The sequence below is a fragment of the Homo sapiens genome, chromosome 11, assembly GCF_000001405.40.
Source record: "Homo sapiens chromosome 11, GRCh38.p14 Primary Assembly".
Lineage (NCBI taxonomy): Eukaryota > Metazoa > Chordata > Mammalia > Primates > Hominidae > Homo > Homo sapiens.
This window is the reverse complement of record NC_000011.10, coordinates 86,298,190-86,313,917: the sequence shown is the minus strand read 5'-3', so window position 1 is coordinate 86,313,917 and position 15,728 is coordinate 86,298,190. Positions and strand designations below refer to the sequence as shown.

General features: G+C 37.6%; 1 protein-coding gene across 11 annotated transcripts in view; it reads right to left on the bottom strand.

Moving 5' to 3' along the window:
• HIKESHI (heat shock protein nuclear import factor hikeshi) overlaps positions 1-11,678 on the bottom strand; it is a 43,704-nt gene extending 32,026 nt beyond the window's left edge. For 5 of the 11 annotated variants that reach the window (NR_136324.2, XR_001747904.3, NM_016401.4 and 2 more), the window contains exons 1-2: positions 11,440-11,678; positions 7,436-7,673 (exon numbers count right to left, since the gene is read on the bottom strand). Coding sequence is in view for 6 of the 11 variants with exons in the window: in NM_016401.4 (NP_057485.2) it covers positions 7,436-7,673; positions 11,440-11,469 (268 nt within the window). In the remaining 5 variants the exon portion in view is untranslated. Of the gene's footprint in view, positions 1-7,435; positions 7,674-10,387; positions 10,562-11,439 lie in introns of those variants that run through there. The other 6 variants (NR_024597.2, NR_024598.2, NM_001322407.2 and 3 more) reach the window with 5 other exon arrangements.

Sequence of the window (15,728 nt, the reverse complement as noted above, 5' to 3'; positions counted from 1 at the left end):
ACCTTATGCCTCTATTACCTCCACCTAGAAAAGAATGCCCAATAGATCTCTCATAGGCCTGACAAAGTCCTACTTGTCTGCCAAAGAGCTCCAATATCACCTCCTCCAGGAAAGCTTCCCCAACCCACTTACGAGTTAATTGCTACCTTTTCTATTCTCCCTCCACACTTTGTACAAACATCCACTATTACTTTTCACCATTCCAATTACTGGTCTACAGAAATGTCTTCCTCTATGAGTTATCTCAGGCAAGAACTTAATCACTACCTTTATATCCCCATAACAGATACACAAATGTTTGGTAAATATATAAACATGTTACCTACATGGTACCTAAACATAATTTTCCTTGGACTCCATAAACAGTTTGTAGGAGAATATATCTTTTTATTTTAAGAATTTTCATGCCTGTAATCCCAGCACTTTGGGAGGCTGAGGTGGGTGGATCACCTAAGGTCAGGAGTTCAAGACCAGCCTGGCTGACATGGTGAAACCCCATCTCTACTAAAAATACAAAAAATTAGCAAGGTGTGGTGGCGGGTGCCTGTAATCCCAAGTACTCAGCAGTCTGAGGCAGGAGAATCACTTGAACCCGGGAGGTGGAGATTGCAGTGAGCAAAGATTGTGCCAATGCACTCAGCCTGGGCAACTAGAGCAAAACTCCATCTCAAAAATAAATAAAATAATTAAAAATTTTTAAAAAGGAAATTTCAGGTCTGTCTTCATCTAGATTTTCAAGGGAACCAGAGATTCAATAGATACAAATGGCACCGAATCTAGTTTCATTCTCACATTTCTTCACAAAATGCCTCAAAGTATCAAAGCAAAGAATTACGGCTCTGCAAACAACACAAAGATACTCCTCGAGAAGCGCAACTCCAAGACACATAATTGTCAGATTCACCAAAGCTGAAATGAAGGAAAAAATGTTAAGGGCAGCCAGAGAGAAAGCTCGGGTTACCCACAAAGGGAAGCCCATCTCACTAACAGTGGACCTCTCCACAGAAACTCTACAGGCCAGAAGAGAGTGGGGGCCAATATTCAACATTCTTAAAGAAAAGAATTTTCAACCCAGAATTTCATATCCAGCCAAACTAAGCTTCATAAGTGAAGGAGAAATAAAATCCTTTACAGACAAACAAATGCTGAGAGATTTTGTCACCACCAGGCCTGCCTTATAAGAGCTCCTGAAGGAAGCACTAAACATAAAAAGGAACAACCAGTACCAGCCACTGCAAAAACATGGAAATTGTAAAGACCATTAATGCTAGGAAGAAACTGCATAAACTAACAAGCAAAATAACCAGCTAACATCATAATGACAGGATCAAATTCACACACAGCAATATTAACCTTAAATGTAAATGGGCTAAATGCTCCAATTAAAAGACACAGGCTGGCAAATTGGATAAAGAGTCAAGACCCATCGGTGTGCTGTATTCAGGAGACCCATCTCACGTGCAGACACACATAGGCTCAAAATAAAGGGATGGAGGAAGATCTACCAAGCAAATGGAAAACAAAAAAAGGCAGGGGTTGCAATCCTAGTCTCTGATAAAACAGACTTTAAACCAACAAAGATCAAAAGAGACAAAGAAGGCCATTACATAATGGTAAAGGGATCAATACAACAAGAAGAGCTAACTATCCTAAATATATATGCACCCAATACAGGGGCACCCAGATTCATAAAGCAAGCCCTTAGAGACCTACAAAGAGACTTAGACTCCCACACAATGATAATGGGAGACTTTAACACCCCACTGTCAACATTAGACAGATCAACGAGACAGAAAGTTAACAAGGATATCCAGGAACTTAACTCAGCTCTGCACCAAGCAGACCTAATAGACATCTACAGAACTCTCCACACCAAATCAACAGAATATACATTCTTCTCAGCACCACATCGCACTTATTCCAAAATTGACCACATAGTTGGAGGTAAAGCACTCCTCAGCAAATGTAAAAGAAAAAAAATTATAACAAACTGTCTCTCAGACCACAGGGCATTCAAACTAGAACTCAGGATTAAGAAACGCACTCAAAACCGCTCAACTACAAGGAAATTGAACAATCTGCTCCTGAACGACTACTGGGTACATAATGAAATGAAAGCAGAAATAAAGATGTTCTTTGAAACCAATAAGAATAAAGACACAGCATACCAGAAACTCTGGGACACATTCAAAGCAGTGTGTAGAGGGAAATTTATAGCACTAAATGCCCACAAGAGAAAGCAGGAAAGATCTACAATTGACACCCTAACGTCACAATTAAAAGAACTAGAGAAGCAAGAGCAAACACATTCAAAAGCTAGCAGAAGGCAAGAAATAGCTAAGATCAGAGCAGAACTGAAGGAGATAGAGACAGAAAAAACCCTTCAGAAAATCAATGAATCCAGGAGCTGGTTTTTTGAAAGATCAACAAAATACATAGACCACTAGCAAGACTAACAAAGAAGAAAAGAGAGAAGAATCAAATAGACTCAATAAAAAATGATAAAGGGGATATCACCACCGATCCCACAGAAATACAAACTACCATCAAAGAATACTATAAACACCTCTACGCAAATAAACTAGAAAATCTAGAAGAAATGGATAAATTCCTTGACACATACACCCTCCCAAGACTAAACCAGGAAGAAGTTGAATCCCTGAATAGACCAATAACAGGCTCTGAAATTGAGGCAATAATTAATAGCCTACCAAGCAAAAAAAGTCCAGGACCACACGGATTCACAGCCAAATTCTACCAGAGGTACAAAGAATAGCTGGTACCACTCCATCTGAAAATATTCCAATCAATAGCAAAAGAGGGAATCCTCCCTAATTCATTTCATGAGGCCAACATCATCCTGATACCAAAGCCTAGCAGAGACAACAAAAAAAGAGAATTTTAGACCAATAACCCTGATGAACATCGATGCAAAAATCCTCAATAAAATACTGGCAAACCGAATCCAGCAGCACATCAAAAAGCTTATCCACCATGATCAAGTGGGCTTCATCCCTGGGATGCAAGGCTGGTTCAACATACACAAATCAATAAATGTAATCCATCATATAAACAGAACCAAAGACAAAAACCACATGATATCTCAATAGATGCAGAAAAGGCCTTTGACAAAATTCAACACCCCTTCATGCTAAAAACTCCCAATAAACTTGGTATTGACGGCACATATCTCAAAATAATAAGAGCTATTTATGACAAACCCACAGCCAATATCATACTGAATGGGCAAAAACTGGAAGCATTCCCTTTGAAAACTGGCACAAAACAGGGATGCCCTCTCTCACCCCTCCTATTCAACATAGTGTTGGAAGTTCTGGCCAGGGCAATCAGGCAAAAGAAAGAAATAAAGGGTATTCAATTAGGAAAAGAGGAAGTCAAATTGTCCCTGTTTGCAGATGACATTGTGTATTTAGAAAACCCCATCGTCTAGCCCAAAATCTCCTTAAGCTGATAAGCAACTTCAGCAAAGTCTCAGGATACAAAATCAATGTGCAAAAACCACAAGCATTCTTACACACCAATAACAGACAAACAGAGAGCCAAATCATGAGTGAACTCCCATTCACAATTGCTTCAAAGAGAATAAAATACCTAGGAATCCAACTTACAAGGGATGTGAAGGATCTCTTCAAGGAGAACTAGAAACCACTGCTCAGCAAAATAAAAGAGGATACAAACAAATGGAAGAACATTCCATGCTCATGGATAGGACGAATCAATATTGTGAAAATGGCCATACTGCCCAAGGTAATTTATAGATTCAATGCCATCCCCATCAAGCTACCAATGACTTTCTTCGCAGAATTGGAAAAAACTACTTTAAAGTTCATATGGAACCAAAAAAGAGCCTGCATTGCCAAGACAATCCTAAGCCAAAAGAACAAAGCTGGAGACATCACGCTACCTGACTTCAAACTGTACTACAAGGCTACAGTAACCAAAACAGCATGGGAACCAAAACAGAGATATAGACCAATGGAACAGAATAGAGCCCTCGGAAATAATACCACACATCTACAACCATCTGATCTTTGAGAAACCTGACAAAAACAAGAAATGGGGAAAGGATTCCCTATTTAATAAATGGTGCTGGGAAAACTGGCTAGCCATATGTAGAAAGCTGAAACTGGATCCCTTTCTTATACCTTATACAAAAATTAATTCAGGATAGATTAAAGACTTACATGTTAGCCCTAAAACCATAAAAACCCTAAAAGAAAACCTATGCAATACCATTCAGGACATAGGCATGGGCAAGGAATTCATGACTAAAACACCAAAAGCAATGGCAACAAAAGCCAAAATTGACAAATGGGATCTAATTAAACTAAAGAACTTCTGCACAGCAAAAGAAACTACCATCAGAGTGAACAGGCAACCCACAGAATGGGAGAAAATTTTTGCAATCTACCCATCTGACAAAGGGCTAATATCCAGAATCTACAAAGAACTTAAACAAATTTACAAGAAAAAAATCAAACAGCCCCATCAAAAAGTGGACAACGGATATGAACACACACTTCTCAAAAGAAGACATGTATGTAGCCAACAGACACGTGAAAAAATGCCCATTATCACTGGTCATCAGAGAAATGCAAATCAAAACCACAATGAGATACCATCTCACGCCAGTTAGAATGGTGATCATTAAAAAGCCAGGAAACAACAGGTGCTGGAGAGGATGTGGAGAAATAGAACACTTTTACACTCTTGGTGGGACTGTAAACTAGTTCAACCATTGTGGAAGACAGTGTGGTGATTCCTCAAGGATCTAGAACTAGAAATATCATTTGACCCAGCCATCCCATTACTGGACATATACCCAAAGGATTATAAATCATGCTGCTATAAAGACACATGCACGTGTATGTTTACTGTGGCACTATTCACAATAGCAAAGACTTGGAACTAACCCAAATGTCCATCAATGATAGACTGGATTAAGAAAATATGGCACATATACACCATGGAATACTATGCAGCCGTAAAAAAGGATGAGTTCATGTCCTTTGTAGGGACATGGATGAAGCTGGAAACCATCATTCTGAGCAAACTATCGCAAGGACAGAAAACCAAACACTGCATGTTCTCACTCATAGGTGGGAATTGAACAATGAGAACACTTGGACACAGGAAGGGGAACATCACACACCGGGGCCTGTTGTGGGGTGTGGGGAGTGGGGAGGGATAGCATTAGGAGATATACCTAATGTAAATGACGAGTTAACGGGTGCAGCACACCAAAATGGCACATGTATACATATGTAATGAACCTGCACGTTCTGCACATGTACCCTAGAAGTTAAAGCATTATAGATAAATAAATAAATAAATAAAAAGAATTATGGCTCTGCAATGTCAACAGAACCAAAAGAAGAACATTGGCAGGGTGATCAAATCTCGTTCAACAATCTTAACGGAAGAAAATAAGTACTTCTATTCTATTTGCTTTATACAAGTCTATCTGGTTTATCTTCTCACTTAGCACGTGTATGTGTGTGTATATATTTTTTATATATAATACACATTTTATATGTAATATATATTTTATATAATATATATTTTATATGTAATATATATTTTATATATAATATATATTATATGTAATATATATTTTATATATAATACACATTTTATATGTAATATATATTTTATATATAATATATATTTTATATGTAATATATATTTTATATATAATATATATTTTATATGTAATATATATTTTATATGTAATATATATTTTATACAATATATATTTTACATGTAATACATAGTATACTGTATATATAGTATATAGTATATTTATATAGTATATTTTACGTAATATACATATTATATATTATATGTAATTTATATATAATTATATATTTATAATATGTATATTACACATAATATACATTTTATATATAATATATATTACACATATATATTTTATATAATATATATTACACATAATATATATTTTATATATTATATATTACACATAATATATATTTTATATATTGTATATTACACATAATATATATTTTATATAATGTATATTACACATAATATATATTTATATAATGTATATTACACATAATATATATTTTATATAATGTATATTACACATAATATATATTTTATATAATGTATATTACACATAATATATATTTTATATAATGTATACTACACATAATATATATTTTATATAATGTATACTACACATAATATATATTTTATATAATGTATACTACACATAATATATATTTTATATATAATGTATACTACACATAATATATATTTTATATATAATGTATACTACACATAATATATATTTGATATATAATGTATACTACACATAATATATTTGATATATAATGTATACTACACATAATATATATTTGATATATAATGTATACTACACATAATATATATTTGATATATAATGTATACTACACATAATATATATTTGATATATAATGTATACTACACATAATATATTGATATATAATGTATATTACACATAATATATTGATATATAATGTATATTACACATAATATATATTTGATATATAATGTATATTACACATAATATATGTTTGATATATGATGTATATTACACATAATATATATTTGATATATGATGTATATTACACATAATATATATTTGATATATGATGTATATTACACATAATATATATTTGATATATGATGTATATTACACATAATATATATTTGATATATGATGTATATTACACATAATATATATTTGATATATGATGTATATTATACATAATATATATTTGATACATGATGTATATTACACATATTTGATACATGATGTATATTACACATAATATATATTTGATACATAATATATATATTTATATATATATATATATTTTTTTTTTCTTTGAGACAGAGTCTCGCTCTGTCACCCAGGCTGGAGTGCAGTGGTGGGATCTTGGCTCACTGCAAGCTCCACCTCACAGGTTCACACCATTCTCCTGCCTCAGCCTCCCGAGTAGTTGGGACTACAGGCGCCCACCACCACGCCCGGCTAATTTTTTTTTATTTTTTAGTGGAGACAGGGTTTCACCGTGTTATCCAGGATGGTCTCGATCTCCTGACCTCGTGATCCGCCCGCCAGGGCCTCCCAAAGTGCTGGGATACAGGAATGAGCCGCCGCGCCCGGCCAAAAAAAATATTTTTATGAAGGTTATACTACACAAAATGAACAACAAGAGGAGCCCAGGAAGTCTTTCACTATTTTTCAAATGTTTCTGTATTGTCTTTTTTAAAAAACAATGTTTTGTATTACTTTAACAACCAGAAAAACACAATCTAAAGGGGGAAAAGTCATATTCCATGTTATGCTATTTAAGAAAAAAGTTTGATTAATTATAAAACTACTTTAATATATTATTCTTACCAGATTTAAGACCTGAAATTTTGAAGATGGCACTTGGCTTCCCATTCGTGACAAATCCTAGGAGTTGCCATACTGGCATTCCATTTGAATCAGGATAAGAAAAGTAGACAGATCCTCCCATTCCCTCAGGAAATGGGATTGTTCCCAGCATAAAAACCACAACATGGTTGATACTTTCATAATCAGGTAAGTCAAAAACAAATTTATCCTCTGCCACTTGCTGTGCAGCTGTTTGCACCTAGAAAATAAGAAACTTGTCTCAGTTCAATGGTTCTATGAGTTTCTGTAACTCTTAACAGTATCATTTATAAGTTATATTACCAGCATAATCCATTATAGTCTTTCTACCAAATAGAATGTTAAATCTGATAGTCTTAAATACATACTTAGTTTTACAATCATAATCTACTAAATGCAATCTTCTAAAAATATAACTCGGGCAGATCACAGCGGCTCACACCTGTAATCCCAACACTTTGTGGGAGGCCAAGGCGGGCAGATCACCTGAGATCAGGAGTTCAAGACCAGCTTGGCCAACATGGCAAAACCCCATCTCTCCTAAAAATACAAAAACTAGCCAGGTATGGTGGCTCATGCATAAGTATTCCCAGCTACTCGGGAGGCTGAGGCAGGAGAATCGCTTGAACCCAGGTGGTGGATGTTGCAGTGAGCTGAGACCATACCATTGCACTCCAGCCTGGGCAACAAGAGCAAAACTGTCTCAAAAACTAAAAATAAAATAAAAATAAAAATAAATTATTTCAGAGGTGCCCTGAAAGGATTTTACTTACATAAAAAATAACTAGGCCAGGCACGGTGGCTCACGGCTGTAATCCTGGCACTCTGGGAGGCCAGGATCACACGACGTCAGGAGTTCGAAACCAGCCTGGCCAACATGGAGAAACCCCATTTCTACTAAAAATACGAAATTAGCCAAGCGTGGTGGCACGTGCCTGTAATCCCAGGTACTCGGGAGGCTAAGGTAGGAGAATCACTTGAACCCAGGAGGTAGAGGTTGCGGTGAGCTGAGATCGCGCCATTGCACCAGCCTGGGTGCAAGAGCTAAACTCCGTCTCAAAAAAATAAATAAATAAAAATAACTATAGCTTCAGAATGTTGTAAAAATGAAAGGTTATTCAAAACACATCACCTAAGCTCTCACCCTCCAGCTTAAAGATAAAGGGGCCAGGCACAGTGGCTCATGCCTGTAATCCCAGCACTTTGGGAGGTCGAGGCAGTCAGCTGGCTTGAGCTCAGGAGTTCAAGACCAGCCAGGGCAACATGGCAAAATCCGATCTCTACAAAAACTACAAAAATTAGCCAGGGGTGGTGGCATGCGCCTTTGGTCCCAGCTACTCGGGAGGCTAAGACCAGATAATCACTTGAACCCAGGATGTCAAGGCTGCAGCAAGCCGAGGTCCCGCCACTGCACTACAGCCTGGATGACAGAGCATGACCCTGTCTCAAAAATAAATAAAAGAATCTCAGGTAATTAAAACAGGTAAGCAATCCAGAAGTAATTAGGCAATCCTCCTTATTCACAAATCCTGTATCTGAATTCACCTACTCACTAAAACTCACTTGTAATCCCAAATCAATGCTTGCTGCATTTCTGCAGTCATTCATGGACATACTCATATGAACAGTAGTAAAAAATGTGAGTTGTAGGCCTGGCACAGTGGCTCATGCCTGTAATCCCAGCACTTTGGGAGGCCAAGGCGGGTTGATCACCTGAGGTCAGGAGTTCCAGATCAGCCTGGCCAACATGGCGAAACGTAGTATCTACTAAAAATATAAAAATTAGCTGGGCATGGGGGCACATGCCTGTAGTCTCAGCTACTCAGGAGGCTGAGGCATGAGAATTGCTTGAACCTGGAGGCGGAGGTTGCGATGAGCAGAGATCACACCATTGCACTCCAGCCTGGCTGACAGAGTAAGACTCCGTCTCAAAAAAAAAAAAAAAAAAAAAAGTGAGTTGTGCAACTCACACACTGGCAGCTGAGGTAGAACATGCCATCTTGTTTCAGTCCTCGTAATATGAAAAAGTGTCCTTTTCACAGTCTCATCTATTTAAAGCATTTTTGTGATTTTTGTTGGTGATCGTGCTGTTTAAAATGACCAAGTTCAAGTGCTGGCTAGTCTTCCTAAGTGCAAGAAGGCTATGACATGCCTTACAGAGAAAATATGTGTGTTAGGTAAGTTTTCCCTCTATAATATCCTATCTACCGATACAAATAAACTTAGGAAAAATATACTGCTATGTAATTTCAACTATCTATTAGTTATAAAGTAGTATCAACTGGCTGCCCTAAATTAAGTCTCAAGATACAAAGGCAGTGTTCCTAAAGTCAAATTCTGATTCCCTCTTCAGAAGTATTCTGACCCACTTTAAAATCCTCCAGCTTTAGTATAAAGAATAAAACAAAGGAATAACACAAACCAAATGGCCTGTATTAGTATTAAATTCAATTTCACCAGTCTTTGGCATGCATATAACCTAAAAAGCATGGGAAATTATTATTTATGAGTCTTGAAATAACCACCAGGCAAAATAAATATTTCTTAAGTGTCAACTTTGTATAGGTACTGAACAGTCTGCAAATCTGTATCATCACACTCTAATTTTTGACATTAAGAAAAGGTGTATCTCTTTAAGAAAAAAAATCTTAAGAAATAAAAACTGGGTTCATAAGTTTAGATAAGTAGATTTTTCTTATAACAGAGTCGTGTAGTTAAGTTTTGAGATGCCACTAGGTCTATTTGTCCTTCACTTTGATGTGTCCTAATACTCCATAATTAAAGGACCAAGTATCCCCAATATATAGAGGCAGGTATTACCATAACTAAATTTCCTTCCAAATTAGTTGACAACGTGAGAGATACATGGATTCCAAATAGGCTTTTTATTCTTTAAGAAACACAATTTTAATGTCATTCATTAATAACACTCACTCGTCTGAGTCACACAATCATTCCAGGTTTGTCCTTTTTCCCTATTAAGAGCAGGGCAAAATTATCTCACCAGGATTATGAATTACCACCATCACCACAGGGGTCTCCCAGTCATTCAAGAGACAAACTTTATGAGGCTAGTCATCTCCAACTTATCTTTCTGGCTTCTTAGAACTGTATATGTACAGAATACAATACATTATCAAAACTTGATGGGAAAAAAAGACAATTCAGCAAAGGGACTGCAACATTTTAAAAAGCCAGGAGAAAAAAGAAGGAAAAATACTTCTAGGGGAAAGGAATCAGGCCTGAAAATTGATGTCTGTGTGGTTTCTAAGGAAACAAACAAGATTCACCTTCCAGATTATTCCTAAAGAATTCCAGGTGCTGTTCTCATTTACTCTAACAATTTGGCAAGGTAAGTTATCTATTTTGACCCATAAGGAAACACACTACTCGCATCCTTCTCTGGTTATCTCAGATACGGCTCACACGTTAAGTTTCAGCCAACTTCCAATTAAATTAAGCTTATTTTTACTCGGGTTCTTCCAAAGGGACCCAAAAGATATACATTCCCTGAGCACCTTAATCTTTGAAAAACAGTTTGCTATAGACCAAATTCAATCCCAAATTCACCTCTACCTCAAGTTAATAAAGAAGGTATTTATACTGGCGATTGAACTTAGTTCTGTAACTGCAAAATGTCAAAGATAAAGACCATCTCACGAGTTATGAGGATTAAGTTCAAAGTGCCAAATAAGCGCCACACATAAGGCTGAGTGACCAAAGGCGTGCATTGCACTTAGCCCAGTACTTGGTACAAAATGCACACTTAATAAATGCCAACTTATACTGTGACTACTATTCGAAAGAATCTGAATAGAGCTGGGCAAAGGAGAGCACCCAGCTTCCCACGCTCCATCCTCACATACCCACCCAAAATATAATAAGTGGGCTTCCCCGCATCCCTAGCGCCTGCGCACCCTCCCTGCCGTAGGGCTTCGCCCTCGGTATCCTGACCCCTTCCTGATATCACCCGGTCCCATCCTCACCAGCCTCCCCGCCACCAAGCAGCCAAACATGGCGACGGCAGCTCCGTTCAGCCGGCAGTGACCTGAAGCCGGCGACTAGGAGTCCTGGGGCTACTGCCCTAGTCGAGACTAAGAACCTTCCAGAATTTGCGGGAGGGTGTCTGCCCCTCCACTACATAGTGACTGGGCCAGCGGCAAGAATGCCTCTGCCCCCGCGAACTCTGACCTTCTCTTCCTAAGCAGCCCACTGCTCAGGCAACAAGTACTTCCGGGGCTTACACCCGGTTTTCCCCACTAAGGAAGAAAGGCGGGCCAGCGCCAGTACAAGACTACAAGTCCCAGAACAAGTCCCAGAGGGCACCGCGCCAGTTTCCGGGAAGGTAAGCCTGGAGGCTTTGCACACTGGGATCGGTAGTCCGGGTGTTTTATAGCCACAAAATCTGTGGATCCTTCATTTCCATGTACAATCCTGGGAAGAGATGCTTCTAACGTTTCTGTGACATCTGAGAGATTAACGGTGCACTTTTACAATAATCACGTCACTAGATCTTTACAAAAACCCTATGAGGTAAGTATTATAATCCAAATTTTATAGGAGTGATCAGCCTCAAATCTTTACACAGCAGTAAATGTTGGAGGCTGAATTCAAGTCCTAATCCAAATCCGGGTTTCTTTCTGCTACACAGTGTCTCAGAAGTATTAATCTTTAACCAATTGTTTTGTACTTGTCTACAATTTATAGTAGTTCTTTCCAGCTTCACTTAGTTCTCCCATTCATTTGCTGTACAATTGTGGACGAGTTGTAGATGTCTTTGTGCTTCAGTGCCCCTCCTTTGCAAAAGACAAATAATGAGCCTATTGCCTAGGGTTGCTGTGAGGATTAAATGAGCTAATATGTATAAAACACTTAAAACAGTGCTTGGCTGTGCTTAATTAGTGGGAGTTTTATTGTAAAAATGTCTATTTTTTTTCTATGTGGATCTGCAGAAAAGTTTCATAGGAAATACAAAACAATAGCCAAAAAAAAAAAAAAAAATACTGGCATTAAGTACCGATTGCCACCAATACTTATTCTCCCTTTCACAGCTCCAATTCCTTTTCTTCTTGAATAGGATAGTAAAGGGTCTCTGTCCAATTTGAAATATCTGAGCTTGGCCACCAGCCGTAAAGCAGGTCTGTCTTCCCAGTTCTCAGTTTATATATGGGGGATCAGTGTTTGGAACAGTCCTCTGGCCTCCACTGTGGATCCCTAAACTGATCACCTATCTTATCACCGATACTCCTTTGAGATAGCTGTGCCAAAGGTGAAGAGGTAGGAAAGGATCTACCAATGTTTCCAACTTACTATCTAAAAAGTCCTAGAACCTTCAGAATAAAAAGGCCATTCATATGAAGACCACTTCATAAATTAAGGCACCCACACTACCTGGGTTCAGAGCCCATCTCTGCCATTTATTAGTTACATAATCTCAGGCAAGTTAACCTAACACTCCCATACCTCCTTTTCCCCATCTTTAAAATGAAGTAATAGTAGTATCTACCTCATAAAGTTGTTTTGAGGGTTCTTACACGTAAAGTACTCAATAGTGGCCAGAATGTAGCTTACTCAATAAATGTTAATATTTAGCATTATTGCCTTTCCTAACTAATTTTCCATGTCTTCTTCATACCCACCTTGTGCACTAGCCATACTTTTGAATTCTCTGAGCAACTCCTACTTTTAAATTTGTATGTGCTTATGCAACTTGTTTTATCTCCCTGTAATATTCACTTGGTTATTTCTTACACATCCTCTCACTTTTCTTCACTAACCTTTCTATGACCCACCTGATAGTCATTTCTTCTCCTACCCAGCAATCTTATATTTAGTGGATTGAGAACTAGCTAGCTTAGAATTTTTTTTATAAATTACAGATGATGTTTATTAATTGTCTCAATCTCTGTTATGTGAGATATGAGCTTTTTCTCCATTTTGCTGGTCAACTGTCTTAGTTATAGATTGTACAAAGAGTTAGAGGCAGTGAGTACAGTATCATATCTCTAGAGTAGCCAGTATTCCAGCTACCAAACTATATTATTTGTACATACAGTAGTTCTTTGTAACTTCTGCGGGCAGAACTAGATACAGTGTGAGGAAGTGAAAAAATGTTTCAGGGAAAAAAATCTTTCCAATAATCAGAGCTCTCTGAAATAAGAATAGATAGTCATGGAATAGAGTGAATGCTCCTATTCACATTGATATTGTAACCAATGCTGAAATCCACTTACATTGTTGAGGAGACTTACGGAAAATTGGGGAAATTGGCTGAAAACCTCAGAGGTACTCCCCCCCATCTCAAACTATATGATTCTATGGAGTAAGAACCAGTTATAGTTTAATTGTGGCCAGGGTATCAGGGATTCTGAATCCTGGTGTTAGCTCTTCATTAATTAACCTAATGATGAGATCATTTATTTTATCATTTTGGCCATTATGTTTCTTCCAATTCTAGGTTGAATTCTGACTTGAAGAGAGCAAAAAAATATTTTTTCTCTTCTCTGAAAAATTTTTCTTTACAAAACAAGGAGAACAACAAATAGACACACAAACTCTGTCTTCCCTGAACTGGGAGATATCTGTAACCCCAAGTCACAACAGATATCAATGGAAAGTAGATAAAAGAAAGGCAAATGACTTAGCAGAGGCGTGGAAGATCAAACTCAGGTACTACAGAGAAAGATAAATATCAGAGAAGCTCAGGAACTGGAGATATCAGGGGCCACAGAATGCAAGGGTAAGACAGGTAGATTGCTTAAAATCAGTGTTAAGATGTTTATATCTGTTCCTCATCCACACCTTGCAAAAGGCCACTGGTATGAAATCTCTGTGGAAAAAAATTAAATCAGAGGCACCCTGGGTACTAGGAAACCATATACTGAAAAAAAGTGGTTGTAAATTAAGGCCACCATGTACAGATTCGGTCCTAAATAAGGACACCCAAATGAGAGAGGAGTCCTTGGTCACCAAGTCAAACATATCCCAGACTATGTCCACCCAAAGAGGGGTGGCTTTTTCTGAAGCATCCACGTGAGAGTGCTTTGTACTATATCATCCATGCAGAGATAGCTCTTTTTTACATCCCTCATCCATAGGGGAAAAGGGTCACGTTTTAAGAATTGATGGAAAAATCCAACACTCTTTTCATGATAAAAACAGTCAACAAACTAGGAATAGAAGAGAACTTCCTCAACCTGATGAAGAACATCTACAAAAACTCCGCAGCTAACCTCATACTTAATGGTGAAAGATCAGGAACAAGACAAAGGTGTCTTTTATAGCTGCTTGTACTCAACATTGCACTGGAAGTTCCAGCCAAGGCAATTAGGCAAGATAAATAAAACTGGAAATGAAAAAGTAAAACAATCTCTAGTCACAGATGACATGATCTTTTTATTTTTTATTTTTTTTGAGACTGAGACAGAGTCTCACTCTGTTGCCCAGTCTGGAGTGCAGTGGCGATCTCAGCTCACTGCAATCTCCACCTCCCAGGGTCAAGCGATTCTCCTGCCTTAGCCTCCCAAGTAGCTGGAACTACAGGCATGCACCACCATGCCTGGCTAATTTTTGTATTTTTTGGTAGAGATGGGGTTTCACCATGTTGGCAAGGCTGGTCTCGAACTCCTGACCTCAGGTGATCCACCCAACTCATCCTCCCAAAGTGCTAGGGTTACAGGTGTCAGCCAACACGCCTGGCCAACATGATCTTGTATATAGAAAATCCTAAGGGATCCACTAAAAACCTATTAGAACTAATAAACAATTTCAGCAAGATTGAAGGATACAAGGTCAATATACAAAAATAAATTGTGTTGCTATACACTTGCAGTGAACAATCCAAAAATGAAATTAAGAAGATAATTTCATTTAAAATTCTCATTTAACAAAAGAAGTATAAAGTATATACTCTGAAAACTACAAAAAATTGTTGTAAGAAATTGATCTGGCTTGGACATTTGTCTCCTCCAAATCTCATGCTGAAATGTGAACTTAATTGTTGGAGGTTGGCCTAGTGGGAGGTGTTTGGAGCATGGGGGCAGATCCCTCGTGAATGGCTTGGTGCTATCCTTGCAGTAATGAGTTCTCACTGTATTATTTCATTCAAGAGCTGATTGTTTAAAAAAATAAAAAATAAAGAGCCTGGCATCTCCCTTGCTCCCTCTCGCCATGTGATATGCCTGCTCCCCCTTCCGCTTCCGTCATGATTGTAAGCTTCCTGAGGCCCTTACCAGAAGCTGGACATATATTGCTGCCATGCTGGTACAGCCTGCAG